The sequence below is a fragment of the Homo sapiens genome, chromosome 19 (genome assembly GCF_000001405.40).
Source record: "Homo sapiens chromosome 19, GRCh38.p14 Primary Assembly".
Taxonomy (NCBI): domain Eukaryota; kingdom Metazoa; phylum Chordata; class Mammalia; order Primates; family Hominidae; genus Homo; species Homo sapiens.
Window position 1 is genome coordinate 7,373,547 of NC_000019.10, and position 27,320 is coordinate 7,400,866.

The following is a 27,320-nucleotide window of genomic DNA, read 5'->3' on the forward strand; positions in this document are numbered from 1 at the left end:
CTCACTGCAATCTCCGCCTCCTGGGTTCAAGCGATTCTCCTGCCTCAGCCTCCCGAGTAGCTGGGATTACAGGCACGCACCACCACACCCGGCTAATGTTTGTATTTTTAGTAGAGACGGGGTTTCACCATGTTGGTCAGGCTGGTCTCGAACTCCTGACTTCATGATCTGCCTGCCTCAGCCTCCCAAAGTGCTGGGATTACAGGTGTGAGCCACCGCACCCAGCCTAGATTCTCATAAGGAGTGTGCAACCTAGATCCCTCGCATGTGCCGTTCACAATACAGTTCCCGCTCCTATGAGAATTTTTTTTTTTTTTTTTTTGAGACAGAATCTCACTCTGTTGCCCAGGCTACAGGCTCACACCACCACACCCGGCTAATTTTTTGTATTTTTAGTAGAGATGGAGTTTTACCATGTTGGCCAGACTAGTCTCAAACTCCTGACCTCAGGAGATCCTCCCGCCTTGGCCTCCCAAGTGCTGACATGACAGGCATGAGTCACCATGCCGGGCCCCTGCTCCTTTGATAATCTAATGCTGCCACTCATATGACAGGAGGTGGAGCTCAGGCAGTCATGTGAGCAATGGGGAGTGGCTGTAAATACAGATGAAGCTTCGCTCACATGCCTGCGCTCACCTTCTGCTTTGCAGCCCGGATTCTAAAAGGTCACAGACTAGTACCAGTCTGTGGCCCAGGAGTTGGGGATCCCTGCTCTAGGGCCATGAGGGGCGTCTGCACCATCAGAGGCAGCCCAAAAAACCCTCTTCTAACTTGCACATGCATGAACATAGAGCCTGTGCAAGTGACCGAGCATGCATGCACAAGCCCAAACTGAAAACTGCATGTGAGGCCGGGCGCGGTGGCTCACACCTATAATCCCAGCACTTTGGGAGGCCAAGGCGGGTGGATCACCTGAGGTCAGGAGTTTAAGACCAGCCATGGTCAACATGGCAAAACCCCCTGTCTACTAAAAATACAAAAATTAGCCAGGTGTGGTAGTGCACACCTGTAGTCCCAGCTACTCGGTAGGCTGAGGCCCGAGAATCGCTTGAACCCAGGAGACAGAGGTTGCAGTGAGCCAAGTTTATGCCACTGCACTCCAGCCTGGGCGACAGAGCGAGACTCTGTCTCAAAAAAAAAGGAAGAAAAAAAAATCGACTGCATGCACACACTGCAAGCACACAAAAACCTAAATTTACACACCTGCTGAGAGTACGGCCACGATCAGCACCCATCAGACCCACGCATATAAGCTTAAACGTGATCTGCATACTGCTTGCATGCATACGCATGAAGCCACCATGCAGTTATGATCAGAACGGAAATGTGTGAGACACCATGCACCCCACAGTGGCAGCACCAAATAGTAGAGGCAGGGGGTGCTCTAGCCACCCCTAACCCGTGTCCCTCAACCCCTTCCAAGTCATCCCACATAGAAATTCAGGCCGGGTGCAGTGGCTCACGCCTGTAATCCCAGCACTTTGGGAGGCAGAGTCGGGCGGATCACTTGAGGTGAGGAGTTCGAGATCAGCCTGGCTAATGTGGTGAAACCCTGTCTGTACTAAAAATACAAAAATTAGCTGGGCATGGTGGCACGTGCCTGTAATCCCAGCTATTTGGGAGGCTGAGGGAGGAGAATCGTTTGAACCTGGGAGGCGGAGGTTGCAGTGAGCTGCGATCGTGCCACTGCACTCCAGCCTGGGTGACAGAGTGAGACTCTGTCTCAAAAAAAAAAAAAGAAAGAAAAGAAAGAAAGAAAAGAAAGAAAAAGAAAGAAAGAAAGAAAAGGAAGAAAGAAAAAGAAAGAAAAGGAAGGAAGGAAGGAAGGAAGAAAGAAAAGGAAGGAAGGAAGAAAGGAAGGAAGAAAAGGAAGGAAGAAAGGAAGGAAGAAAAGAAAAGAAAGAAAAGAAAGAGAAAACCAGTCTGTGCAAAAACGATCTGAGATGCAAATGTAGCTCCAACAAATCTAACCAGGCTGGCTTTCTTTGTCCTCTCCCCCTTGCCACCCACTCCTCTCATATTGGGAGGTCTGGACCCCTTTCTGTGGCTTGCGCACCCTTCCTTGTCCTGGAAGGGCCCCCTTGCATGTTCTTTCAAGCCCCCCTGGATGCCTGGGGCAGCAGCCAGGTGGGCAAGACCTGCTGAAGCCCCAGTACCCTGTCTTCTCCACTAGGCTCAGCCTCGATGCCTCAGCTGTGGATGAGGAACCCTGTCTCCCCCGAACACTGGCCAGCCTTGCTTTGAACCTGCCAGGAGGAGGGCTGAAGACCTGGACTCAAGGGTGTCTCTCTGGGGGCGGGACCCCCGCAGAGAGCCCAGGCAAGGTGGGTATAACCTGCAGCCACCCCTGACAATAGCACACTTTTGGGTTTAGAAAGCAGTGCTATAGGTAGGAAGGAGAGACTTGCCAGGGCTGGTGGCGCTTACCCACCATGGCAGGGTGGAGGCTGCTTATCTGTGGTGTGGCCCGTGCCTCAGTTGTCTCTGGGTCCTAGGATTCCAGCCTAGGCCTGAAGGGATTTCCCTGGGTAAGCATCTGGGGCAGGCCATGCATGGCCATGACTCCAACCCAAGGGCTGGAGACAAGGGGATGGGGGATGTCTTATCTTGCAGTTTCAGCCAGGCTTGGAGGATCTTTGCCTGGAGTGTAGCCCTGCAGCCGGAAGGCAGCTGTGTCTGTGGTTGGGGTATGCAGCTACAGCTAAGGAGAATTTGTGTCTGACCTGAGATCCCAGCTCACACCTGAGGAATGCATGCTTGGAGCTGTGGCTGGTGGCTGAGACATCTTTGGCTGTGATCACAAAGGACCCTGGGGGAAATTCCTGGCCATTGTTGGAAGCTGTGGCTCTGATACCTGGGGCTCCAGCTCAGAGCTGGAGGCTCCTCCGCCAGGACTACAGCCCTGTGGCTGGGGAGGGGGTGGCTGAACCCATGTCTTATGGCTGGGGGGAGTGGCTGGAGGCTGAGGCTTGGATGAGTGTGTCACCCCATTTCTGTGGAGGTGGCCCTGGCTGTGGGTTGGGCCCCTCAATCCAGGGAACCTGCCTGCAGTCCAGGCTGCCTTCCCAGCTTAGTGAGATGTTTAATCCCCTGCAGGAATGTGACAGCCCCAAGAAAAGAGGGAGGTCAAGGTCCGTTCCTGTGTCCTTCTATGAGATCCGCTCTCCGGAAATCTCTCCGGGTTTGGAAGTGCCCACTCCACCTGTTCAAGGTAGCCAGCCTGGGAGTTTCCTTCATTCAAACCAAGTCAGGGAAAGAGGAGCCTGGCCAACATGGTGAAACCCTGTTGGGGTTTCATCCTTCATCCTGGAGGGTCCCCTTGGTGGGGCTCCAGATGGGCCCCAGGGAAGGGAAGGGAGCTGGCTTAGGGTCCCCTGGGCAGGGACTGAGCAGAACGCTGGGGGAAGCCAGAGAGGGGAAGGGACCTCCAGCATCTGTCCCTCCTCCTCTCCCTGCAGCTCTTGAGCCAGTGTGAGATTGCCCCATTGCAATGAGCTTGTCCCCAAGATTCTCTCTTCTCTCTATGACTCTTTTTTTTTTTTGAGATAGAGTCTTGCTCTGTCGCCCAGGCTGCAGTGCAGTGGTGCAATCTCAGTTCACTGCAACCTCCGCCTCCCGGGTTCATGCCCTTCTCCGGCCTCAGCCTCCCAAGTAGCTGGGACTACAAGCACCCGCTACCATGCCCGGCTAATTTTTGTATTTTTAGTAGACACAGGGTTTCGCCATGTTGGCCAGGCTGGTCTCAAAGTCCTGGCCTCTAGTGATCGGCCCGCCTCAACCTCCCAAAGTTCTGAGATTACAGGCATGAACCACCGCGCCCAGCATTCTGACTATTTCTTTATCTCTTTCTTTATCTCTGAATTTTTATCCTGAGATCTTGCACCTCTCTGGCATCAGACAAACCTGGAGTCTAAACACATAACAAGTCTCTGAGCCTCTGTGGCTTCCTCTATTAGAACAGGTGCAGCAGCTCACACCTGGAATCCCAGCACCTTGGGAGGCTGAGGCAGGTGAATAACTTGAGCCCAGGAGTTTGAGGCCAGCCTGGGCAACATGGCGAAACCTTGTCTCTACTAAAAATACAAAAAACAATTAGCCAGGCATGACGGTGTGCACCTGTAGTCCCAGCTACTTTGGAGGCTGAGATGGGAGGATCACTTAAACCCAGGAGGTCAAGGCTGCAGTGAGTTCTGATGGCAGGACTGCGCTCCGCTCTGGGTGACAGAGTGAAACCGTCTCAAAAAAAAAAAAAAAAAGGCCTGGTGCGGTGGCTCACGCCTGTAATCCTAGCACTTTGGGAGGCCGAGGCAGGTGGATCACCTGAGGTCCAGAGTTCGAGACCACCCTGGCCAACATGGTGAAACCCCGTCTCTACTAAAAATATAAAAACGCAAGAATTAGTCGGGCATGGTGGTGTGCGCCTGTAATCCCAGCTACTCGGGAGGCTGAGACAGGAGACTTGCTTGAACCCAGGAGGCGGAGGTTGCAGTGAGCTGAGATTGAGCCATTGCACTCCAGCCAGGGTGACAGAGCGAGACTGTGTCTAAGGAAAAAAAGGGGAGGGGGGACAATAAGCGTATCTCCTTCAGGCCACTTGGAGAGTCTGCTGATCTCACACACGTAAAGCACTTAGTAGGTTGTAAGCACTCACGAGACACTGGGGACACCTGCGTTTGTCCCTGGCTCTCTGTCCTCTTCTCGTCTCTGTTGCCTGAGAGTACAGGCCCTGTCTGCATGGCCTCCAGTTCTGCAGGGGCCCAGGGTGGCATCCGGGAGGGCTCTGCTGGGCTGGTCCTGTCCCAGAGCTCCTGACAACTGTGCTTCCTGGGATGGGGGGCTTCTTCCAGGCCTGGAACCTCCAGTGCTGGAGTGCATGGAAAAAGACCATGTGGAACCAGATCACGTGTGAGTTTCTGCCTCGTGGTGGGGGAGGGACCCCCAGGGAACAGGCCACAAAGTCAGGGCTGCGGGAGGAGGGCTGCCAGGGTGCAGTGTTGCTGGCCATAAGTGACCAGGGCCAGACACCATCCCACTAGTCCCCCCATAACCTCATCTTTCTGCCACCATCCTTCTCCCGGTGGGAGGGACCCAGGCCCCTCAGAAAGGTTCTCAATGTAGCCTTGGGAGACAATTGTGGCTTTTTTTTTTTTTTTTTTTTTTTTTTGAGATAGGGTCTCACTCTGTCACCCAGGCTGGAGTACAGTGGCGTGATCTCAGCTCACTGCAGCCTCTGCCCCCTGGGTTCAAGTGATTCTCCTGCCTCAGCCTCCAGAGTAACTGGGACTACAGGCGCCCGCCACCACGCCCGGCTAATTTTTGTATTTCTAGTACAGACGGGGTTTCACCATGTTGGCCAGGCTGGTCTCGAACCCCTGACCTCAGGTGATCCGCCCACCTTGGCCTCCCAAAGTACTGGGATTACAGGCGTGAGCCACTGTGCCCGGCTGACTGTGGCTTTGAGTAGGGTCTGCATCAGGACCTGAGGCCTGCTTGGGCAACCCCAGCTTATCTAGGGGAGAGTGTCTGTAACCTGGAGCTACCATGGGCTGTTCTAATCCCACCTCCACCCCCACAGGCTGATTGTCCAGCAGGTGCTTCAAGAACTTCGACAGTACCATGGGTAAGTGGGAATCGGGACAGGCTTGAGGGGAGCAAAGTGGGAGACAAAAGCAGGAAGCATGCAGGGGTGTGCACAGGTGTAGGAGACAGGGGTAGAGAAGACTGGGTGAGGGCTGGGTACAGTGGCTCACGCCTGTAATCCCAGCACTTTGGGAGGCTGAGGCAGGCAGATCACCTGAGGTCAGGAGTTCGAGACCAGCCTGGCCAACATGGCGAAACCTCGTCTCTACTCAAAATACAAAAATTAGCCAGGCGTGGTGGCACGCACCTGTAATCCCAGCTACTCAGGAGGCTGAGGCAGGAGAATTGATTGAACCCAGGAGTTGGAGGTTGCAGTGAGCTGAGACTGCACCATTGTACTCCAGCCTGGGCAACACAGTGAAACTCTGTCTCAAAAAAATAGAAAAAAGACAAGGCTGGGTTCAAGGGAAGAAAAATGGGGCAGAAGAGGAGGGAGGAGGATAGAAGACAAGAGTTGGAGAGGAGCAGGCTGCCACTGGCATAGGGGTTCCTTGGAGCAAACAGGTGAAGGTGCCTCCTGCCTAAGACACTGCCATCTGTTACAAAATCTTCCTGTAGCTGGATGTGGTGGCTCATACCACTGTAATCCCAACACTTTGGGAGGCCAAGGTGAGAGGATCATTTGGAGGCCACGAGTTTGAGACCAGCTTGGGAAAGATAGTGAGACCCTGTCTCTACAAAAAACATTTAAAAATTTGCTGGGCGAGGTGGCTCATGCCTATGATCCCAGCAATTTGGGAGGCTGAGGTGGGAGGATTGTTTGAGCCCAGGAGTTTGAGACCAGCCTGGGCAACAGAGTGAGACTCTGTCTGTATAATTTTTTTTTTTTGATTAGCTGGGCGTGGTGGCACATACCTGTAGTCCCCAGCTACTCTGGGGGGTGTGGGGGTGTTGACGCAGGAGGATGGCTGAGTCCAGGCAGTGAAGGCTGCCATGAGCCATGATTATGCCACTGCACACCAGCCTGAGCAACAGAGCAAAACCCTGTTTAAAAAAAAAAAAAAATTGTGGGCTGGGCGCAGTGGCTCACACCTGTAATCCCAGCACTTTGGGAGGCCAAGGCGGGCGGATCACGAGGTCAGGAGATCGAGACCATCCTGACTAACATGGTGAAACCCCGTCTCTACTAAAAAATACAAAAAATTAGCTGGGCATGGTGGCAGGCGCCTGTAGTCCCAGCTACTCAGGAGGCTGAGGCAGGAGAATGGCGTGAACCCAGGAGGCGGAGCTTGCAGTGAGCCGAGATCGCACCACCACACTCCAGCCTGGGTGACAGAGCGAGACTCCATCTCAAAAAAAAAAAAAACTGTGTAAGATTTAAGTACTTGGTTAAAAAAAAAATTAAAAATTAGCCAGGCATGGTGGCACATGCCTATAGTCCCAGCTACTCAGGAGACTGAGGCGGGAGGATTGCTCAAGCCCCGGAGGTCGAGGCTGCAGTGAGCTGTGATTGTACCACTGCACTCCAGCCTGGGCAACAGAGGGAGACGCCATCTCTATTAAAAAAGAAAAAAAACATCTTCCTGCTACACTGATTTTGTTTAGCCAAGACACATTACTGCCCTCTGCTGGAAAACCTGTCATAATGTCTCATATACAAGCCCAGAGTGTCAAGGACAGGTGGGCTCTTAGACGGGGTACCTGGTGTATGCCTGTACTCGGTAGCACTGGGGTAGGTGAGTGGGAGAAGAGGCTGCCGACCCAGGTATCTGTCCCCTCTGATCCTGCAGGGCCCGGCAGAGGGCTTGCATGTCAGCCAGCCCCGGAGGAGCCCACTCGAACCTGACCTGGTTTGAATTCCTGTCGGAGTAAGTACACAGATCTGCTTCTGGGGAGGGCAGCCTTGGATTCGAACAAGTGTTTACAGATGGTCCTTTGGGCCAGACCCCCCATGCTGGGGGCAGGAGCTGGAGCCCCCATCAGGGCAATGGTGGGAGCTGGCAGGAAAGGGAGGGATGAGGCTCCCGTATACCCTGAGAGGACAGAGGAAGACTTCCTGGAGGAGGTGACGATGTAAGCAGGGTTCTGACGGAAGAGTAGGAGTTTGCCAATACGTGCAGATAAGGATGAAGGAAAAAAAAAGAAACTAGAAGGCTTAGGGAATGACATCGGAGTGGGGCTGGGAGGAGGGAAGGTGGGAGAAATCAGCAGAGACCAGACCACCTCAGCTACACAAAGGCGCTCACACTTTATCCGAAACAGCAGTGGGGCTTGGGTGCGGTGGCTCACGCCTATAATCCCAGCACTTTGGGAGGCCGAGGAGGGTGGATCATCTGAGGTCAGGAGTTCAAGACCAGCCTGGCCAACATGGTGAAACCCAATCTCTACTAAAAATACAAAAATTAGCCGGATGTGGTGGCGGGTGCCTGTAATCCCAGCTACTCACGAGGCTGAGGCAGGACAATCACTTGAACCCAGGAGGCGGAGGTTGCAGTGAGCCAAGATCACGCCCTTGCACTCCAGCCTGGGCAACAGAGTGAAACTCCGTCTCAAAAATAAATAAATAATAAATAAATAAATAAATAAATAAATAAATAAAAATAAAAAGAGCAGTGGGGCCTTTGAGCATTATCAGTTCTGGTGATAGGATGGGGACAGTATGAGGACCACAGACAGGGCTGGAGGTCCCTGAATCCCTCTCTCTCCCTCCTTTCCTCCCTCCCTCTCTCACTCACTCATTCATTCAAGAAACATTTATGGATATTTACAAAGTTCCAGAAGCCACTCGGACTGGGATCTGGGGGCACAGACTGGAGGAATGGCGTCTCCGCCCAGGAAATAGACCCTACCAGAGCAGGAATCATGTCTGCCTTATATGTCACTGACCTAATATTTATTAAATGAAGGTGTGCCTGAAATCCAGGAAACCATGCCAGTGACCTGGGGATGGAGTTTGGGGTGGGGGAGGAGATAGAAGAATGAGCAGGATTTAAAGACCAATTAGGGCCGGGCGTGGTGGCTCATGCCTGTAATCCCAGCATTTTGGGAAGCTGAGGCAGATGGATCACCTAAGCCTGGCCAACACGGTGAAACCCCACCTCTACTAAAAATACAAAACAATTAGCTGGGCACAGTGGCACACACCTGTGGTCCCAGCTACTCGGGAGGCTGAGGCATGAGAATCGCTTGAACCTGGAGGCAGAGGCTGCAGTGAGCCGAGATTGCACCACTGCACTCCAGCCTGGGTGACAGAGTGAGACTCTGTCTCAAAATAAATAACAAAATAACTAAATAAATAAATAAATAAAGGCCAATTAGATACCGGGTGGGGGTGGGGGGCGTGAATTAGAGGGAGAAATCATAAGTGAACAGAGCTGAAATTCCCAGCCCAGGCATTGAGGGACCTCAAACCTGAGATCACGTTGCATTTCCCTCTGTAAACCCAGTCCCCAAAGCTCTTGCAAACATTCATTCATGTCTGCTGAGTGAATAAGTAAGACAGGGAAGGAGGGAGGGAAGGAGGAAGTCAAGGGCCAGGGAAGGGGTAAGGCAGGACCAGGAGGCCACAGGGAGACAGGTTGCAGGTGGATTCCTGAAGCAACCCACAGGGCTGCCTCAGAATGGCCCCTGGCCCCCTCTAGTGGACCTTCCCTCTCGTCCCTCAGGAGCGAGGACGGTGCTGGCAAGAACGAGAAGAGTGACAAGAGTACCAGTGTGAAGCGCAGGCTGAGCTGCCTCCGCAGTCGAGTGACCAGGCAGAAGGAGAAGGTAAGGGGAGCTAAGCCACGGGGGCCCTCCTCTGCCTTCCCCAGCTTGGCTTGCTGCCCTTAGCCCGGGAGCCCTGTGACTGGGGCTGGTGGTGGGCTGGGTACACAGTATATAAGAGGGCCAGTGCCTGCAGAGGGCATCCTGAGACCCACCTCTGTCCCATCCAGGGGAAGAGCCCAGCACATCTGAAGGACAAGGGCCAGGATGCACGAGAGAGGCGGGAGTGTGTCAATGGGCACCAGCTGTTGCAAGGGACCTTCTCCGGCCCCTCCAGCTGCCCCCTGTGTGGCAAACCTTTCTTGAGCTCAGGTAAGTCTGGTGGCCCAATCCATCCTCCTGGAGGGCAGCCACTTTCTCTTCTTCACGTCCTTTCAATCATACTCCTGGGGTCTCTTTTGATGTGTGCATCCTCGTTCTGTTTTGCCCTCTCCTCGGCGGCTCCCTGGAGAGAACCAGGGATCAGTCCCTGGGCACAGGGACCCTTGGGCTAACTCGGGACTGGCAACAGTCCCTTTAAGTCTCAGCTTTTGCGATTGTGGGAATCCTCCTGCAGCATCTGGACTTGAGCCGTGTATGAGTTTGCTAGGGCTGTCATGACAAAGTACCATGCACCAGGTGGCTTAACCATCAGAGATATATTCCCTTGCACTTCTGGGGGCTTAAAGTCTGAGATCAAGGGCTAAGCTTCATATGAAGGTGCCAGGAAATGATCCATTCCAGGCGTCTCTCCTGGCTTCATCCCTTAGCCTCACATGGCCCTGTCTGTGTCCCAGTTTCCCCTTTCTATAAGGATACCAGCCATATTGGATTAGGGGCCCACCACACTCCAGTGTGGCCTCAGCTTAGCTTATTTACATCCATGAAGACTCTATTTTCAAATAAGGTCGCATCCTAAAGGACAGAAGTGGGGGAGTAGGATTGCAACACATGAATTTGATGGGTGGGGGGAGGGGCATACAATTTTATCCATAGCAGGTCGTTTTCTGCTTCCTGGGGCACTTGGTGGTTGTGGGGTGGTGAGGGAAAGAGTCTCTACTCGAGAAAAAGTACCAGATTCAAGAGACTCCCAGAAAGAGATGGCTCTGGTCATTGCCGGGATTTAGAACTTTGTCTTTTTGCAAATAAGCTCCACGTTGGAGGGAATGAAGAGGAGGAGGTGGTGGCAACTGCGTGTTAGAAAAGATGCGTGCGCCGTTTGTAACCGAATCCAAACTGCAGTCTGTGGCTGGCAGAACTCAGGCTAGTTCACAGTTTCTGGGCCTTAGCACTGTCAACATTTGGGGCCAGGTGATTCTTTGTTCTAAGGGGCTATCCTGTGCATTGTAGGATATTTAGTAGCATCCCTGGCCTTCACCCTCTAAATGCTGGTAGTAACCACCTCCTGCCTCCAGTTGCAACAATCAAAAATGTCTCCAGACATGGCCAAAAGTCTCCTGGGGGGCAGAATTTCCTCCAGACAGGAATCAATGGGTGAATGAGATGGGCAAACAGATCCTAGATGGGCTTAGACCCTGCAGTGAGAGAACATCTCCACCCCCGGGGCAAGTGCCTCTGAGCAACGTGCCTTGCAGGTTTTGCATTTGTTGGCTTTACCTGCTTCAGGCGTGGGAATTTTCCTTCTTTCTCATTTTCCTCTCTTTCTGCAGTGCCATTGCTGGCCATGGGGCTGGGGGTGGCTGTTGGTGGCTAGTGGTGTCAACGATGTTCCTCTTTGAGCTCCCTCTGTTAGGCAATCCCCATCCAGCTCTGTGACCCATGAGCTGTCCTCAGCAGAGGCTGGCATGAGCTTTTTGCAAAATTTTTTTTTTTTTTTTTGCGACAGGGTCTCACTCTGTTGCCCAGGCTGGAGTGCAATGGTGTGATCTCAGCATACTGTAGCCTCTTTCTCCTGGGCTCAAGCAATCCTCCCACCTCCTCCTCCCGAGTAGCTGGGTCTACAGGTGTGCACCACCATGCTTGGCTAAGTTATTAACTTATTTTTGTAGAGACAAGGTCTCACTATATTGCCCAGGCTGCTTTCAAACTCCTGGACTCAAGCGATCCTCCCGCCTCAGCCTCCCAAAGTGCTGGAATTATAGGTGTGAGCCACCTCACCCAGCCTTTGCCAAATCTTCAGTGCACCAACAAAGTCAGTGTGTTGAAGTCCTTAATTTGGGACAGCAGGTGACTCCCTCTTTTCCCTGGCACCTTGTTCTCTTCTGCAGGGGATGAGCTGTGCTCAGTCTATCTTAGGCATCAGATGCAAGGGGCAGATAGAAGGTTGGAAGTTGGAAGAGTAAAGCCAGAGGTCTAGAACCAAGACTGCACAGAGCAGGCGCTGGGAGCCTGCCCTCGGATACCCTTCCTTGAACAGCTCCAGGCTGAGCTGAACCATGCACTTCCTTCTGTGATTGCTGGTTCCTTATCATTCTCCATTTGTTTCTGTTCCTGCTTTTGCTTTGCTTCTCAGAAAAATCCTGAGGTCTTTAAACTCTGATTTGGGGTCACCCAAGGTCTTGTATGTCCATGTGGCCCACTGACTTAGAGCGTCGCCGTCATCTGGGAACTTCATTATTATTATTATTATTATTATTATTATTATTATTATTATTATTATTTTGAGACGGAGTCCCACTCTGTCACCCAGGCTGGAGTGCAGTGGCACGATCATAGCTCACTGCAACTCTCACCTCCCAGGTTCAAGCGATTCTCCTGCCCCAGCCTCCCGAGTAGCGGGGATTACAGGTGCCCACCACCACGCCCAGCTAATTTTTGTATTTTTAGTAGAAACAGGGTTTCACCATGTTGGCCAGGCTGGTCTTAAACTCCTGACCTCAAGTGATTTGCCTGCCTTGGCCTCCCAAAGTGCTGGGATTACAGGCGTGAGCCACCGCGCCTGGCCTGTCACCTGGGAACTTTTTCAAAATTTCTATTTTAGAGATAGGATCTATCTCTCTCTATCTCTCTCTCTCTCTCTCTCTCTCTCTCTCTCTCTCTCCCCCCTCCCTCTCTCCCTCCCTCCCTCTCTCTCTCCCTCTCTCCCTCTCTCTCTCTCTCTCTCTCCCCCTCTCCCTCTCTCTCTCTCCCTCCCCCTCTCTCCCTCTCTCCCTCTCTCTCTCTCTCCCTCTCTCTTTCTCTCTCTCTCCCTCTCCCTCTCTCCCTCTCTCTCTCTCCTCCCCGCCACCCCCGGGGCTGGAGTGCAGTGGTGTGATCATAACTCACTGCAGCCTTGAAATCCTCGGCTTAAGGAATCCTCCCACCTCAGCCTCACAAATACCTGGGACCACATGCATATATAACCACACCCTGCTCATTTTTAACATTTTCGTTTGTTTGTAGAGACGGGCTCTTGCTATGTTGCAAAAAAAAAAAAAAAAAGACAAAGGAAAAACATGAAGTTAGAAAAGGAGACAGAGTGATTACAGAGTTTGTCAACCTCAGCACTACTGACATTTGGGGCTGTGGTGTGGGGCCGCCCTGTGCCTGGGAGGAGGTTGAAAAGCATCCATCGTCTTCACCCACTTGGTGGCAGGAGCGCCTCTAGCTATGATGACCAAGTTGCCACGTGTCCTCTAGTGGCAGGGTAGGAATGCAGTCACCCCCAGGTGAGGACCACGGCTCTCCCTCAAGTGTCCAGGGATAGCCTCTCCGAATTGGTGACATTGGAATCCAGATGTGGAGGAGGTGGGAAAAGGGCCCTGTGGATAGGTAGGGAAGAGTATTCCAGGTCGTAGGTGGAAAGGTCCCAGGGCAGGAATGTGCCCCGGGCAGCAGAAAGGCCAGTGTGCTTGAAGTGGAGGTAGAAGAGGTCTGTCGGAACCTGTTGCAGGTCACACAAATGTGCATGCCTGCCCCCATCTGAGCCATTGCTCAGAGGACCCTGTCACTTGTCACTCGATAGCTGAGCTTGCTGTCTGCAAATCCCACCTCCACCTAGACTCCTATCAGGGCAGACAGGCTTCAGTGGCCCCTGTGTGAGCCTGGAAGTTCCCATTGCTGCTTCGGATCCCTTCTCCACTCTGGGCGCTGCAAAGACAGTTCCTGCCTTCCAGCTGGGGATTTGGGCGGGACAGCGTCCAGCACCTCCTTATGAGCTTTCAGTCCCCCTGAAGTTGTATGCCACATCTGCTGTGTCCCTGCGTTTTTCTGGAGGAGCAGAGCAGCTAGGGTTTTCATCAGATCTCCAACCAGAACATGCGACCTTGGAAAAGTTCGGCAACAATTTTCTAAGCCAGGGACTGGCAAACTGCAGTCCATCACCTGTTTTTGTTGTTGTTGTTGTTTGTTTGTTTGTTTTGAGATGGAGTCTCACTCTGTTGCCCAGGCTGGAGTACGGTGGCGCGATCTCAGCTCACTGCAAGCTCTGCCTTCCTGGTTCATGCCATTCTCCTGCCTCAGCCTTCCAAGTAGCTGGGACTACAGGTGCCCGCCACCATGCCCGGCTAATTTTTTGTATTTTTAGTAGAGACGGGGTTTCACCGTGTTAACCAGGATAATCTCGATCTCCTGACCTCGTGATCTGCCCGTCTCGGTCTCCCAAAGTGCTGGGATTATAGGCGTGAGCCACCGCGCCCAGCGCTGTTTTTTGTTTTTTGAGTTTTTTTGTTTGTTTGCATACGCTGAAAGCTAAGAATGGGGTGGGTTTTTTACATTTGTAAATGGTTGAAAACAAATATTTGGTGACACACAACCATTCTATGAAATTTGCATTTTACAGTCTGCAAATAAGGTTTTGTGGCAGGACAGCTCGCCTGTTCATTTATGTATCACCTTCGGTGGTTCCCAAGCTACATCTTTGCTTTTGGTTTTGTTCTGAGACAGAATCTCGCTCTGTCGCCCACGCCAGAGTGCAGTGGCGTGATGTCGGCTCACTGGAGACTCCGCCTCCCAGGTTCAAGCGATTCTCACGCCTCAGCCTCCCGAGTGGCTGGGATTACAGGTACCTGCCACCATGCCTGGCTAATTTTTTTTAGTAGAGACGGGGTTTCACCATGTTAGCCAGGCTGGTCTCAAACTCCTGACCTCAAGTGATACACCCACCTCAGCCTCCCAAAGTGCTGAGATTATAGGCATGAGCCACCGTGTCTGGCTCAAGCTACATTTCTGGTTGGCAGAGTTGAGTTTGCAGCATTACAAAGCAAGTTTGCCAACCCCTGAACGAGGTTATCTGGTAGCAAGCAAGGTGAGTGGCTTATCATGTCCTGCAAATCAATAAACCCCTTACAAAAAAATGACCTTGAGCAATGAGAGTTCCAACAGCGTCTAATTTCCTGAATGTCACTTTATAATCACAGAAAACTTTGCACAAATAATAACAATGGTTAGCATTACCGTATGGAGCACTTACACTATCCCAAGCACTGTAAGTGCTTTATTTTGTTTTTATTTAGATTTTTTAAAAATAGAGACAAGGTCTTGCTATGTTGTCCAGGCTGGTCTCGAACTCCTGGCCTCAGGTGATCCTCCCACCTATGCCTCCCAAAGTGCTGGGATTACTGGTATGAACTACTGAGCCCGGTCTGTAAGTGCTCTAAACCGATTTCCTCATTCAGCTTTGTAACTCTGTAGACACTAGCACTTTCTCTCTTTCACAGATGAGGAAACTGAGGCCCAGAGAAGTTAAGTTTTTGCTCAAGTCAGGGTTTGAACTCACAGCCTGAGCCCCCGATCACCAATCCATTGGCATATGATGCCCTTTTATTTTTATTTTTATTTATTTATTTTCAGATGGAGTTTTGCTCTGTCACCCAGGCTGGAGAGCAGTTGGCACCATCCCAGCTCACTGCAACCTCCGCCTCCCAGGTTCAAGCCATTCTCCTGCCTCAGCCTCCTGAGTAGCTGGGATTGCAGGCATGCGCCACCACGCCTGGCTAATTTTTGTATTTTTAGTAGAGATGGGGTTTCACCATGTTGGCCAGGCTGGTCTCAAACTCCTGACCTCAGGTGATCCACCCCCCTCAGCCTTCCAAAATGCTAGGATTACAGGCATGAGCCACCGCGCCTGGCCTGCCCTTTGATTTTTAAAAAATATACTTTTAATTTTATATTTACAGGAAAGTACAAAGAAAGCAGAGAGAGTCCCTTTAAGCCCTCCTTCCCAGCTTCTCCTCATGTTATTTTTAATTTTTTTGAGACAGAGTCTCACTCTGTTGCCCAGGCTGGAGTGCGGTGGCACGATCACAGCTTACTGCAGCCTCGACTTCTTGGGCTCAAGAGATCCTCCCACTTCAGCCTCCCGAGTAGCAGGGACTACAGTCTCGTAGCACCACACCAGGCTAATTTTTTTTTTTTTTTTGAGACAGAGTCTCGCTCTGTTGCCCAGGCTGGGGTGCAGTGGCGTGATCTTGGTTCACTACAACCTCTGCCTCCTGGGCTCAAGCAATCCTCCCACCCTAGCCTCCCAAGTAGCTGGGACTAGAAGTGCATGCCATCATACCAGGATAATTTTTTTTTTTTTTTTTTTTTTTGTAGAAACAGGGTTTTGTCACATTGCCCAAGTTGGTCTTGAACTCCTGGGCTCAAGCGATCCACCCACCTCAGCCTCCCAAAGTGCTGGGATTACAGGTGTGAGCCACTGCATCCACCCTACATTTTCTTCCTTCCTTCCTTCCTTCTTCCTTCCTCCCTTCCTTCCTTCCTTCCTTTCTTTCTTTCTTATTTACTTATTTTTTTTTTTTTGAGATGGAGTCTTGCTGTGTCACCCAGGCTGGAGTGCAGTGGCACAATCTTGGCTCACTGCAACCTCCACCTCCTGGGTTCAAGCTACTCTCCTGTCTCAGCCTCCCGAGTAGCTGGGATTACAGGCGTATGCCACCATGCCTGGCTAATTTTTTGTATTTTTAGTAGAGACAGGGTTTCGCCGTGTTGGCCAGGCTGGTCTCGAACTCCTGGCCTCAAGCGATCCGCCCACGAGTCGTGACATCCAGCCCACTCTCAGGGTGGTGGGAATTAAGCTCTTTCTCCTGGAGACATCATTTGATTTTGATTTGCAGGACAACCCTTTGAGGTCAAGAAAGATTTGAGTTTGTGTGAAAGAAATGATGTGGGGCCGGGCGCGGAAGCTCACTCCTGTAATCTCAGCGCTTTGGGAGGCTGAGGCAGGAGGATCCCTTGAGTTCAGGAGTCTGGGCAATATAGTGAGACCCTCGTCTCTACAAAAAAAATGTTTAAAAGTTAGCCAGGTGTGGTGGCACTCGCCTATAATCCTAGCTACTCGGGAGGCTGAGGTGGCAGCATTGCTTGAGCCCAGGTGTTCAAAGCTACAGTTAGCTATGATTTGCCACTGCCCTCTAGCCTGTGCCACAGAGCAAGACCCTGTTCCTAAAAAGAAAAAAGAAATAATGTGGGTAAAGGCTGGGCGTGGTGGCTTACACCTGTAATCCCAGCACTTTGGGAGACCAAGGTGGGAGGATCACTTGAGGTCAGGAGTTTGAGACCAGCCTGGCCAACATGGTAAGACCCCATCTCCATTAAAAACACAAAACAATTAGCGGGGCATGGTGGCACATGCCTGTAATCGCAGTTACTCAGGAGGCTCAGGTGGGAGGATCCCTTGAACCCAAGAGGTGGAGGTTGCAGTGAGGCAAGATTGCGCCACTGCACTTCAGCCTGGGTGACAGAGCGAGACTCTGTATCAAAAAAAAAAAAAAAAGAAAAAAGAAAAGAAAAGAAAAGAAAGAAAAATGATGTGGGTAGCACTCACTTAGCATGATGTCTGGTACACACGGGCAATGGTATCTTGTATCATCATCATCATCCTCTTCATTTTTTGTTATTGTCATTTAAAGTCTTTCAGCCAGTAAGCGGCAAAGCTAGCATTTAAATCATAGACGCTTGCCTCTGCAAAGCTGCAAAAACAAATAAAAATAATAATAAATCACAGACCAAGCCAGGTGTGGTGGCTTACGCCTGTAATCCTAGCACTTTGGGAGGCCGAGGAGGGAAGATCACGAGGTCAAGAGAGGGAGACCATCCTGGCCAACATGGTGAAACACCGTCTCTACTAAAAATACAAAAATTAGCTGGGTGTGGTGGCGCCTGCCTGTAGTCCCAGCTACTTGGGAGACTGAGGCAGGAGAATCACTTGAACCCGGGAAGCAGAGGTTGCAGTGAGCTGAGATCACACCACTGCACTCCAGCCCGTTGACAGAGTGAGACTCTGTCTCAAAAAAATAAATAAATAAAATAAAAATAAAAAAATAAATCACAGACCCTAACCCTGTTCTCTGACAACAAACCCCTCCCCACCTGTGTCAGGAGGCATGAAGGGGCCAAAACACCCATGTCTCATTCCCAGCAGGCTGAGAAAAGTCCTCCCAAGGTATAACTCCCCACAGGCCTACCTGCTTTTAAAGGTATTCAAAGTCAACGTGACAGTCTGTCCCGTTTCCTCCCGTCCGTGGGACAGACGGAGGAAACAGCCTCACAGTAAGTTAAACAAACAGAACAGAGAATGAGTCATACTCCAGGTAATTAGAGAAGGTGGGTCTCCACGATAAAGTTGGGATGCTTTTCAGAGAACAGACACCACGCCAGACAGTCCTGTTCCTGGCCTTGACCTTTGAGGCTGTTTATAATTCAACCCCACCTATCCCTCCACGCTTCTCTCCCACTACTCAGGTTCTCCGGACTCCACGGCCCAGTCACCCTGAAGTCTCATGGCTGTTCATACACGTCATACACATACGCTGTGCCTTGCTCATCCAGCGCTGTTCCTGGAACTCCCTCTCCCACCTAACTCTTACTCATCCTTTTAAGACAAAGCCCAGGCCCACTTCCTCCAGGAAGTCGGAATTAGGCTGGATAAGTGTCTGAATGTCTCTTAGGCCAGTTGCTCTCAGCCAAGGAAACATCTGGAGGCATTTTTTTCAGGACCAGGGGAGCCACTGGCATCTAGGAGGTAGAGACCAGGGATGCCGCTCAACACCCTCCAGTGCATAGGAGACCACCCCTGCCACCACCACCGAGAATTATCCAGCCCTAATTGTCGAAAGTGCCAAGCTGAGAAAACCCTGCTCTGGGCCTAAGCTCCTTGCATCTCCTTAGCTCCTAGCGCCCCTGGTCCATGCTAAAGACTCATAAATGAGGCCAGGTGTGGTGGCTCACGCCTGTAATCCCAGCACTTTGGGAGGCTGAGGCAGGCAGATCACCTAAGGTCAGGAGTTCAAGACCAGCCTGGCCAACATGGTAAAACCCCATCTCTACAAAAAATACAAAAATTAGCCAGATGTAGTGGCGGGTGCCTGCAATCCCAGCTACTCGGGAGGCTGAGGCAGGAGAATTGCTTCAATCTGGGAGGTGGAGTTTGCAGTGAGCCAAGATGGCACCACTGCACTCCAGCTTGGGCAACAGAGTGAGACTCCGTCTCAAAAAAAAAAAAAAAAAAAAAGACTCATAAATGCAGAATGGTTGGATGGATAAAAGAAAGATGGGAGATGTTTCTCCTTCCTAGTTGTCTCTGAGAAAGTTGGTTTCTATGTTTAGGGGAGGGCTGTGTCCACCTGAAGTTTCCTATAACCAAGATAGCTATAGAAATAAGGCTGATGGCCAGACCCAGTGGCTCACGCCTGTAATCCCAGCACTTTGGGAGGCCAGGGTGGGAGGATCACTTGAGGTCAGGAGTTCAAGACCAGTCTGGCCAACATGGTGAAACCCTGACTCTACTGAAAAAAAAACAAAAAAAAAACACAAAAATTAGCCAGGCTTGGTGGTGCATACCTGTAATTCCAGCACTCGGGAGGCTGAGGCAGGAGGATCACTTGAACCCAGGAGGTGGAGGCTGCAGTGAGCCTAGATGGTACCACTACACTGCAGCCTGGGTGACAGAGTGAGACTCTGTCTCAAGAAAGAAAAAAAAAAAAAAAGAAAGAAAAAGAGAAAGAAAGAAATAAGGTTCAAAGGCCGGGCATGATGGCTCACACCTACAATCCTGGCATCATAGGAGGCCCAGGCGGGCAGATCACTTGAGCTCAGGAGTTCGAGACCAATCTAGGCAACATGGCGAAACTCTGTCTCTACAAAAAAATTAGCCAGACGTGGTGGTGTGTGCCTGTGGTCCCAGCTACTTGGGAGGCTGAGGTGGGAGGACAACTTGAGCCCAGGAGATGGAAGCTGCAATGAGCTATGATTGTGCCACTGCACTTCCAGCCTAAGTGACAGAGTGAGATCCTGTCTCAAAAAAAAAAAAAAAAAAAAAAAAAGGAAAAAAAATAAGGTTCATGCCCCTAAGTCCATAAGCCACAGCTACACAGCTGCCCAACCATTGAGCCCTCATAAACTCCCGTGTTAGAGTTTCTGACCTCAGCTGCAGTAGGGTGCCTGGTGAATTACGTCTTGCATTTCTGGGACATCCAATTCCCTGAACATGCTCCCTTCCTCTGGACCATGAAGGTTGGACTTGAACTGAAGGCTAGTCCACCTGGGGACGCAACCCTCCAGCTTCTGAACTGGGGACTCTCAACAACATATTGTGCATGTTTTGAAGTGATTGGGTTTGGGGAAATCTTTTTTTCTAAAATAGAGACTGGGTCATGCGAGGTTTCCCAGGCTGATCTCAAAGCTCCTGGACTCAAGTGATCCTCCCTCCTCAGACTCCCAAAGTGTTAGGATTACAGGCATGAGCCGTCTTGCCTGGCCATGGGGAGATCTTCTAGGCCTGGCTGACCAGCCAACCTTGGTGAGAGCTGTTCTGCTCGACTCCTGGTTACTGTTCAACTGCCTCCCCTGTGGCAGGACTTGGATTAGACAGGCAACCTCAAGACTGGGGTGTCTGATGGCAATTGAGAGGTTGCTGGTGCTGGGGGAAGCATCTGGCCTATCCACATCTGCCAAATAGCACCTGTGTGGAAGTGGATAGGGGAGGGTATGGTATGTGTTTCAGACTCTGAGCACCTGTTTGAGGGTATCTGACAGCATCTGTATTGGGGTTATCTAGTATGTGTTTGGGGGTATCTGCTGGACCTATGTGGAGTGTCTGACATATTTGGGGGTTACCTGGAAGCCTGTTTTGGGTATCTGATGGCACCTGCCTGGGTGCCTGTGTTTAGGGGATCTGATGGTATCTATGTTGGGGTGTCTGAGACCACTGGAGAGGTATATGATTCATTTTTCCCAGACCCACCTTTCTGAAGTCTATGCTGCCTCTTTTTTTGTTGTTGTTATTTTGAGACAGAGTCTTGCTCTGTTGTCCAGGCTGGAGTGCAGTGGCATGATTATAGCTCACTGCAGCCTGGACCTCCCAGGCTCAAGTCATCCTCCCACCTCAGCCTCTGGAGGCATGATCATAGCTCACCGCAGCCTGGACCTCCCAGGCTCAAGTCATCCTCCCACCTCAGCCTCTGGAGGAGTTGGGACCACAGGCAGGCGCCTCCATGCCCTGCTCATTTTAAAAAATGTTTTGTAGAGATGGGGTCTTGCTATGTTGCCCAGACTGGTGGTCCTGAACTCCTGGGATGAAGTGATCCCCCCACCACTCCCTGATGCTGCTTCTTTTTTCTCAGGTGACAGACCCTGCCCTCTCCATTTCTTGGACTCTCCCCGCTAGGACTCCCCACCACTGGGAGTGCCCCCCTTAGGTACTTCCAATCCTAACGAGCCCGTAGGAGCCCACTGACAACCCCTCCAGGCATCCGTTGATTCTTCCAAAACACCCCCAGCTCCACTGTCCTCCCTTGGGGTCCCCTTAACCCCGCTATCCTCCCTCGGGGTCCCCCAACTCCGCTGTCCTCCCTCGGGGTCCCCCCAACCCCGCTGTCCTCCCTTGGGGTCCCCCAACCCCGCTGTCCTCCCTCAGGGTCCCCCTAACTGTGCTGTACCCCCCTTGAGATTCTCCAAACCGCTGTCCTCCTCAGGACTCCCTCCCCAGCCGCGCTAATCACCCAGGCTTCCGTTAACCCCACAAAACGCCCACCTAACCCTGCTGCTCTCCCTCTGGATCCCCGCAACCCAGCTGTCCCCTCAGAGCCCCCGGCCCTACTGACAGCCAGGCTCGCATTGCTCTCCTTCAAAAAGCCCCCCAACCCCGCTGACCCGCCCCTCAAAAGTCGCCCTCACCCTCGCCGCGAGCACCCTCCCACTTCGGTGCCCGCGCCCCTCTCAAGGCCGAGCCGACGCCCCCTCACCACGGCTCGGGGAGCAGCAGCCCCAGGTCCCCGGGAGCGCCCCGCCCTCGAGGGCACGCCTCCTTCCGGGTCACGCCCTCTGCCCCGCCTCCGAGGCGGGATCGCGCATGCGCTGCTCTCCTCGCGCGGCTTCCCGCTTCCGGCTCCCAGCTGCTAGCTACTGTGGATCTGGGGGGGCCGGACGGAGGCATCGGAGGCGGCTGCGAGAGTGGCAGAGGAGCTGGCGGAGAGCGGCCTGCGGGCGATCGGGCCGAGGTGAGGACGGCGGCGGGGCGGTCCCGAGGAAAACGGGGCTCAGGAGGGGGCCCTCGGTCTCTTCAGGGGGTGGCCTGGGGCGCGGGACCCCCGGGGCTGCCTCGGGCCTCCCGCCGGCTCCTGGGGGACTTCTCCAGGCAGGCGAACGGGTGCTGGGGTGCAGGCTGCTCCTTCAATGCATGGAGGCTCTAGGCGGCGATTGCAGGGTGCAGAGGTGCAGACGATGCCCGCCCGCTCCGTCCGAGCCCCAGCCAGTCCTGGGGTGCTACGGCTTACTCTCCTCCAGGAGAGGAGAGGAGGGGTCACTTGGGCCCCAGCCTCTGCTCCTCGTTCAGGAGCGCCCGGGGCAGGACCAGGGATGGAATGGAACCCACCACAATACCCAGCACCGTCGTATTTCAGGCCTCCCGGGAGAACCCTCACACCCCGGAGCAGACAGCCCTCCCTGGCAGGGAGCGTTTGGGTGCAAAACCGTGAGAACTATCTGTGCCATGGGTTTTAGTTTCTTGTATAAGAACTCAGTTGGTGCTTTCATTGCGGACGGGAACGAGAAGCTTTCCCCTGGTCCTTACATGTTTCGTTTTGTTTTACGTTTTTAAATTTCAACTTTTATTTGAGATTGAGGGGGTACATGTACAGGTTTGTTACCTGGATATATTGCGTGATGCTGAGGTTTGGGGTGTGACTGATCTCGTCACCCAGGTACTGAGCATAGTACTCAATAGATAGTTTCAACCCTTGACCTCCTCCTTCCCTTCCCGCTCTAGTAGAGCCCAGTTTCTGTTGTCTTCTTGGTGTCCATGAGTACCCAAGGTTTAGCTCCACTTACAAGTGGGAAAGTGCAGTATTTGGTTTTCTTTTCCTGCGTTAATTCTACTAGCACTTGAGTGTTTTGCTGTGGCTATCTGCCCCTTATCTCTTGCTCTGTTGAGATTAAAGCCTGGACCACAGGATTAAAAAACATTCTTAAAGTTTTACCACGGAAGCGAAGCGGCCAACACACCTTTTCCCCTTTGCCTTGTTTTCGCGGAGATGAAGCTCCAGCCAGTAGCTTTGAAGGGCCCCATTCTCTTCCCATTGACCAGAGAGAGAGTTCAGGACAGTATAGACAGCCCAGTGGCCAAGGGATGAGTTTTGCAGGTGTCTGAGTGAATGATTAATCCTCCAGCTGTAAGAGGTGTCAGGAGAGGCTGGGCGCGGTGGCTCAAGCCTGTAATCCCAGCACTTTGGGAGGCCAAGGTGGGTGGATCACGAGGTCAGGAGATCGAGACCATCCTGGCCAACATGGTGAAACCCCATCTCTACTAAAATACAAAAATTAGCCGGGCATGGTAGCGGGCGCCTGTAGTTCCAGCTACTCTGGAGGCTGAGGCAGGGGAATCACTTGAACTCGGGAGGCAGAAGTTGCAGTGAGCCGCGATCGGGCCACTGCACTCCAGCCTGGCGACAGAGCAAGACTGTCTAAAAAAAAAAAAAAAGAAGTGTCAGGAGCACAGGCTTGAGGTCAGATCCGAGCTGGGTTCTGGTCCCAGTTCCACCACCTGTTAGCCGTGTAACTTCACTAAGTTTCCGTCTTCCCATCTTTAAAATGGGAATAAGGGTTGGTTGGGGTTTCTATGAAGTAATCTGTGTAAGGTGCATCACAGAAGTGTCTGGCATATGGCAAACTTTCCATCAGTGTTATACACCCTTTGCATATGCGAATGCTCCCAGGCTTGGATGTTTAGGTTAACATTCCAAATTATAAAGAGTTTGGAAAATTTGAGCATCTCGGATGTTGTTTGGACCGAGTCAGGGTTTACGCTTTATCAGTAGTTTCCTATTTCTGTAGGTCAGCAAGCCTTTTTGCGAAAAAAAAAAAAAAAAAAAAATGAAGATGTGTTTGTTCTAGAGCAAAAAAGAGCAAACAGCTGGCAGGCATAATACATTTCATTTTTGTAAACGTTACTTTGTTTTGGTTTTGTATAGCTTATTTAGTTTTTGTTTTCTTCTGAAATTAGTATGTGATTTTACTTAAAATTTTTTTTTTCTTTTTAGAGACAGGGTCTCACTCTGTTGCCCAGACTGGAGTGCAATAGCACAATCATAGCTCACTACAGCCTCGAACTCCTGGGCTCAAATAATCCTCCTGCCACAAACTCCCAAGTAGCTGGGACTACAGACACGCGCTTCCATGTCTGGCTAATTTTTAAAAATTTTTTGGGCCGGGTGCGGTGGCTCACACCTGTAATCCCAGCACTTTGGGAGGCCCGGGGGGGGGCAGATCACGAGGTCAGGAGATTGAGACCATCCTGGCTAACACGGTGAAACCCCGTCTCTACTAAAAATACAAAAAATTAGCTGGGCATGATGGCGTGTGCCTGTAGTCCCAGCTAGTCAGGAGGCTGAGGCAGGAGAATGGCGTGAACCCGGGAGGTAGAGGTTGCAGTGAGCCGAGATCGTGCCACTGCACTCCAGCCTGGGCAACAGAACGAGATTCCATCTCAAAAAAAAAAAAAAATTTTTTTTGTGGGGTCTCGCTATGTTGCCCAGGCTGGTCTTGAAGTCCTGGACTCAAGCGATCCTCCCACCTCGGCCTCCCAAAGTGCTAGGATTACAGGCGTGAGCTGCCACAGCCTGTGGTTTTTGTTTTTGTTTTTTTAACTGACAGATAACAGTGTATGTATTTATCATGTGCAACGTGACATATTCTTGAAAAATGCAAGAGGAGCGGATGTTAAGCACTTTCACCACAAAAATGAGAGCTATGCGAAGTGCTGCATTTGTTACTAAGCTAGATTTAATCATGCCACTGTGTATATATACTTCAAAGTGTGTTTCCTTTTTCTTTTTCCTTTTGTTTTTTGAGACGGTCTCGCTCTGGCGCCCAGGCTGGAGTGCAGTGGTGTGATCTTGGCTCACTACAACCTCCGCCTCCCAAGTTTAAGCAATTTCGCCTCAGCCTCCCGAGTAGCTGGGATTACAGGTGTGTGCCACCACGCCCAGCTAATTTTTTGTATTTTTAGTAGAGGCGGGGTTTCGCCATGTTGGCCAGGCTGATGTCGAACTCCTGACCTCAGGTAATATCCCCTCCTTGGCCTCCAAGAGAGCTGAGATTACATGCATGAGCCACCACGCCCGGTCATATTTCATTTTTAAATGGCATACCTTAGAGAAGCAGAAAAGAGACCGGGCACCATGGCTCACACCTGTAATCCCAACACCTTGGGAGGTCGAGGTGGGCAGAGAGGCCAGGAGTTCGAGACCAGCCTGGCCAACAGGGTGAAACCCCATCTCTACTAAGAAATACAAAAATTAGCTGGGCGTGGTGGCCTGCGCCTGTAATCCCAGCTACTTGGGAGGCTGAGGCAGGAGAATCGCTTGAACCCGCAAGGCAGAGGTTGCAGTGAGCCGAGATCACGCCATTGCACTCCAGCCTGGGCAACAGAGCTAGACTCTGTCTCAAAAAAAAAAAAAAAAATAAAGAAAGAAAGAAAAGAGATTCTTTGGTTCCTTCTCTCTTTCTTGCTTAAATCGACTTGAGAATGTCCCCACTTTGAAAGGGGAAGTAGCACATACATTGTTTCTGGCATAGCTGTAGTATAATTTTCATTCTTGTCACACAGTAGCAATTACGGCTTCAAGGCCATTGCCCTTTGTGGGCCAGGGCCGTGGTGACTGGCTGTGCCTCCCTGGGTGTTTACCTAGCACATGTTTAACATAGCTCAGATCGTGTGTCAAGATCTCCCTCATTCTCACTCATCCTGGGTCATGTTTCTATCTCTTCAAACTCTATGACTTACAAAACATTTTTGCTGCCACCTCTCTGAAAATCATTTAAAAGCCCAGAGACCTTATATGAAGTCCAGCCAATCGCTGTTTCTTTGTTATTTGTTAGGTAAACTTTACTTTCCCCCTGAGACGGTCAAGAACTACTGTGTTTGAAAACCCTCTCTCTAGGTGCAAAACAGCACCAGTGGAAGCCTCGCAGCTGCCTGGAGGAATTTTTTGAGGGGAGGATTGTGGCTGACTGGGTGAGGGAGGGAAACTGGGTAAAATAATGTCCTCCGAGAGCATTCGGTGACAGCAGTTGTTCTCATTTTTGTGATGCAAATTAAGTTGTATGTGAACTAAATTAAATTTGCTTGCTTCTCTGCTTTTGTCAGAGATAGATTCATAGTTTCAACTGAGTATAGAGTTCTAGTCTGATTATGTTCAATATGTTCAAAGCAGTAGATACACTAATGTTTTTTTTTCCTTCTTTTTTTTTTTTGAGACAGAGTTTTGCTCTGTGCCCCAGCCTGGAGTGCAGTGGCGCGATCTTGGCCCACTGCAAGCTCCACCTCCGGGTTCACGCCATTCTCCTGCCTCAGCCTACCGAGTAGCTGGGACTACAGGTGCCTGCCACCACGCCTGGCTAATTTTTTGTATTTTTAGTAGAGATTGGGTTTCACCGTGTTAGCCAGGATGGTCTCGATTTCCTGACCTCGTGATCCGCCCACTTCGCCTCCCAAAGTGCTGGGATTACAGGCGTGAGCCACCACGCCTTTTTTTTTTTTTTTTGAGACAGAGTTTCGCTCTTATCACCTGGGCTGGAGAGCAGTGGTACGATCACAGCTCACTACAGCCTCGACCTCCTAGGCTCAAGCAATCCTCCCACTTCAGCCTCCCAAGGAGCTAGGACTATAGGTGCGTACCACCGCGCCCAATTAATTTTTGTATTTTTGTGTGTGTGTTAGAGATAGGGTTGCCCAGGCTGGTCTCAAACTCATGGGCTCAAGCGATCCTCCTACCTTTGTCTCCCAAAGTGTTGGTATTATAGATGTGAGTCACCATGCACGGCTTCATACACTGATTTATGGTCATATATTGAAAAAATATATATTCTAAAGGTTTCACTAACAGTACACGTTTAACACATTGTGGATGGTGGATGGTTACATTTTTAATTCACGTCACTTTTTTAATACAGCAGCTTTATTGAAATATAATTAGCACAGCATAAAATTCACCTTTTAAAAGTGTACCATTTGGTGTGTTTTAGGATATTCACAGAGTTAAGCAACAGTCATCAGTATTTAATTCCAGGACATCTTATTATTTTTTTAAAAAAACAGGGTCTTGCTGTGTTGTCCAGGCTAAATGCAAACTCCTGGGTTAAAGTGTTCCTCCTGCCTTAGCCTCCTGAGTAGCTGGGACTACAAGCATCAGCCACCATACCTGGCTCAGTTCATCATTCTTATGGGTGGGTTTCAGGAGGAGAGAAAGTGAAAAGAGGGAGTTGGTCTGGAGAAAGTCTCAGCTCAAAAATGAAAACAAAAATTGGCCGGGCACAGCAGCTCACACCTGTAATCCCAGTACTTTGGAAGGCTGAGGCAGGAGGACTACTTCAGGCCAGGAGTTCAAGACCAGCCTGGATAGCATAGCAAGAATCCTATCTCTACAAAAAATTGAAAAATTGGCAAGGTGTGATGGCTCACACCTCTGGCCCCAGCTACTTGGGAGGCTGGAATGGAAGGATTGCTTGAGCCTTGGGAGGTCAAGGCTGCAGAGAGCTGTGATTACACCACTGCACTCTAGCCTTGGCAACAGAGCAAGACCCTATCTCTAAATAAATAAATATTTATAAATGAAAAGAGG

General features: G+C 51.1%; 1 protein-coding gene and 1 long non-coding RNA gene across 15 annotated transcripts in view, besides 13 other annotated features; one reads left to right on the forward strand and one right to left on the reverse strand.

Annotated features, from left to right (window-relative positions):
• ARHGEF18 (Rho/Rac guanine nucleotide exchange factor 18) overlaps positions 1 to 27,320 on the forward strand; it is a 131,053-nt gene that overhangs the window by 24,610 nt on the left and 79,123 nt on the right. For 8 of the 13 annotated variants that reach the window (XR_007066705.1, XM_006722706.4, NM_001367823.1 and 5 more), the window contains 7 exons: positions 2,174 to 2,324; positions 3,097 to 3,211; positions 4,848 to 4,905; positions 5,576 to 5,620; positions 7,371 to 7,448; positions 9,246 to 9,348; positions 9,516 to 9,657. Coding sequence is in view for 7 of the 13 variants with exons in the window: in XM_006722706.4 (XP_006722769.1) it covers positions 2,174 to 2,324; positions 3,097 to 3,211; positions 4,848 to 4,905; positions 5,576 to 5,620; positions 7,371 to 7,448; positions 9,246 to 9,348; positions 9,516 to 9,657 (692 nt within the window). In the remaining 6 variants the exon portion in view is untranslated. Of the gene's footprint in view, positions 1 to 2,173; positions 2,325 to 3,096; positions 3,212 to 4,847; positions 4,906 to 5,575; positions 5,621 to 7,370; positions 7,449 to 9,245; positions 9,349 to 9,515; positions 9,658 to 21,598; positions 21,702 to 27,320 lie in introns of those variants that run through there. The other 5 variants (XR_007066706.1, XM_047438526.1, NM_001367824.1 and 2 more) reach the window with 1 other exon arrangement.
• Positions 286 to 890: an enhancer, noted in NCBI's record as "H3K4me1 hESC enhancer chr19:7438718-7439322 (GRCh37/hg19 assembly coordinates)". NCBI's record gives its function as "activates a minimal SCP1, AML or CMV promoter by ChIP-STARR-seq in primed H9 embryonic stem cells {active_cell/tissue: H9 hESC(primed)}" and the evidence as "EXISTENCE:reporter gene assay evidence [ECO:0000049][PMID:30033119]".
• Positions 891 to 1,495: an enhancer, noted in NCBI's record as "H3K4me1 hESC enhancer chr19:7439323-7439927 (GRCh37/hg19 assembly coordinates)". NCBI's record gives its function as "activates a minimal SCP1, AML or CMV promoter by ChIP-STARR-seq in primed H9 embryonic stem cells {active_cell/tissue: H9 hESC(primed)}" and the evidence as "EXISTENCE:reporter gene assay evidence [ECO:0000049][PMID:30033119]".
• Positions 6,970 to 7,059: an enhancer, noted in NCBI's record as "active region_13880". NCBI's record gives its function as "activates an Ori minimal core promoter by ATAC-STARR-seq in GM12878 lymphoblastoid cells {active_cell/tissue: GM12878}" and the evidence as "EXISTENCE:reporter gene assay evidence [ECO:0000049][PMID:35858748]".
• Positions 9,417 to 9,917: an enhancer, noted in NCBI's record as "H3K4me1 hESC enhancer chr19:7447849-7448349 (GRCh37/hg19 assembly coordinates)". NCBI's record gives its function as "activates a minimal SCP1, AML or CMV promoter by ChIP-STARR-seq in naive H9 embryonic stem cells {active_cell/tissue: H9 hESC(naive)}" and the evidence as "EXISTENCE:reporter gene assay evidence [ECO:0000049][PMID:30033119]".
• Positions 13,988 to 14,147: an enhancer, noted in NCBI's record as "active region_13881". NCBI's record gives its function as "activates an Ori minimal core promoter by ATAC-STARR-seq in GM12878 lymphoblastoid cells {active_cell/tissue: GM12878}" and the evidence as "EXISTENCE:reporter gene assay evidence [ECO:0000049][PMID:35858748]".
• ARHGEF18-AS1 (ARHGEF18 antisense RNA 1) lies at positions 14,594 to 21,513 on the reverse strand. 2 transcript variants are annotated; one of them, NR_186325.1, is made up of 3 exons: positions 21,447 to 21,513; positions 19,045 to 19,161; positions 14,594 to 17,174 (listed from the first exon to the last, which is right to left on the reverse strand). It is a non-coding gene; the product is annotated as an ARHGEF18 antisense RNA 1 (long non-coding RNA). The 2 variants fall into 2 exon arrangements; NR_186326.1 differs by lacking the exon at positions 19,045 to 19,161.
• Positions 21,272 to 21,712: a silencer, noted in NCBI's record as "fragment chr19:7459704-7460144 (GRCh37/hg19 assembly coordinates)". NCBI's record gives its function as "represses an EF-1alpha promoter that drives an FKBP-Casp9 reporter gene in an ReSE screen in HepG2 liver carcinoma cells {active_cell/tissue: HepG2}" and the evidence as "EXISTENCE:reporter gene assay evidence [ECO:0000049][PMID:32094911]".
• Positions 21,272 to 21,990: a biological region, named in NCBI's record as "ReSE screen-validated silencer GRCh37_chr19:7459704-7460144".
• Positions 21,421 to 21,990: a silencer, noted in NCBI's record as "silent region_9979". NCBI's record gives its function as "represses an Ori minimal core promoter by ATAC-STARR-seq in GM12878 lymphoblastoid cells {active_cell/tissue: GM12878}" and the evidence as "EXISTENCE:reporter gene assay evidence [ECO:0000049][PMID:35858748]".
• Positions 22,201 to 22,380: an enhancer, noted in NCBI's record as "active region_13882". NCBI's record gives its function as "activates an Ori minimal core promoter by ATAC-STARR-seq in GM12878 lymphoblastoid cells {active_cell/tissue: GM12878}" and the evidence as "EXISTENCE:reporter gene assay evidence [ECO:0000049][PMID:35858748]".
• Positions 24,244 to 24,444: a silencer, noted in NCBI's record as "peak3319 fragment used in MPRA reporter construct". NCBI's record gives its function as "represses an SCP1 promoter by STARR-seq MPRAs in K562 erythroleukemia cells {active_cell/tissue: K562}" and the evidence as "EXISTENCE:reporter gene assay evidence [ECO:0000049][PMID:32103011]".
• Positions 24,456 to 24,961: an enhancer, noted in NCBI's record as "H3K27ac-H3K4me1 hESC enhancer chr19:7462888-7463393 (GRCh37/hg19 assembly coordinates)". NCBI's record gives its function as "activates a minimal SCP1, AML or CMV promoter by ChIP-STARR-seq in primed H9 embryonic stem cells {active_cell/tissue: H9 hESC(primed)}" and the evidence as "EXISTENCE:reporter gene assay evidence [ECO:0000049][PMID:30033119]".
• Positions 24,962 to 25,466: an enhancer, noted in NCBI's record as "H3K27ac-H3K4me1 hESC enhancer chr19:7463394-7463898 (GRCh37/hg19 assembly coordinates)". NCBI's record gives its function as "activates a minimal SCP1, AML or CMV promoter by ChIP-STARR-seq in primed H9 embryonic stem cells {active_cell/tissue: H9 hESC(primed)}" and the evidence as "EXISTENCE:reporter gene assay evidence [ECO:0000049][PMID:30033119]".
• Positions 26,104 to 26,304: a silencer, noted in NCBI's record as "peak3320 fragment used in MPRA reporter construct". NCBI's record gives its function as "represses an SCP1 promoter by STARR-seq MPRAs in K562 erythroleukemia cells {active_cell/tissue: K562}" and the evidence as "EXISTENCE:reporter gene assay evidence [ECO:0000049][PMID:32103011]".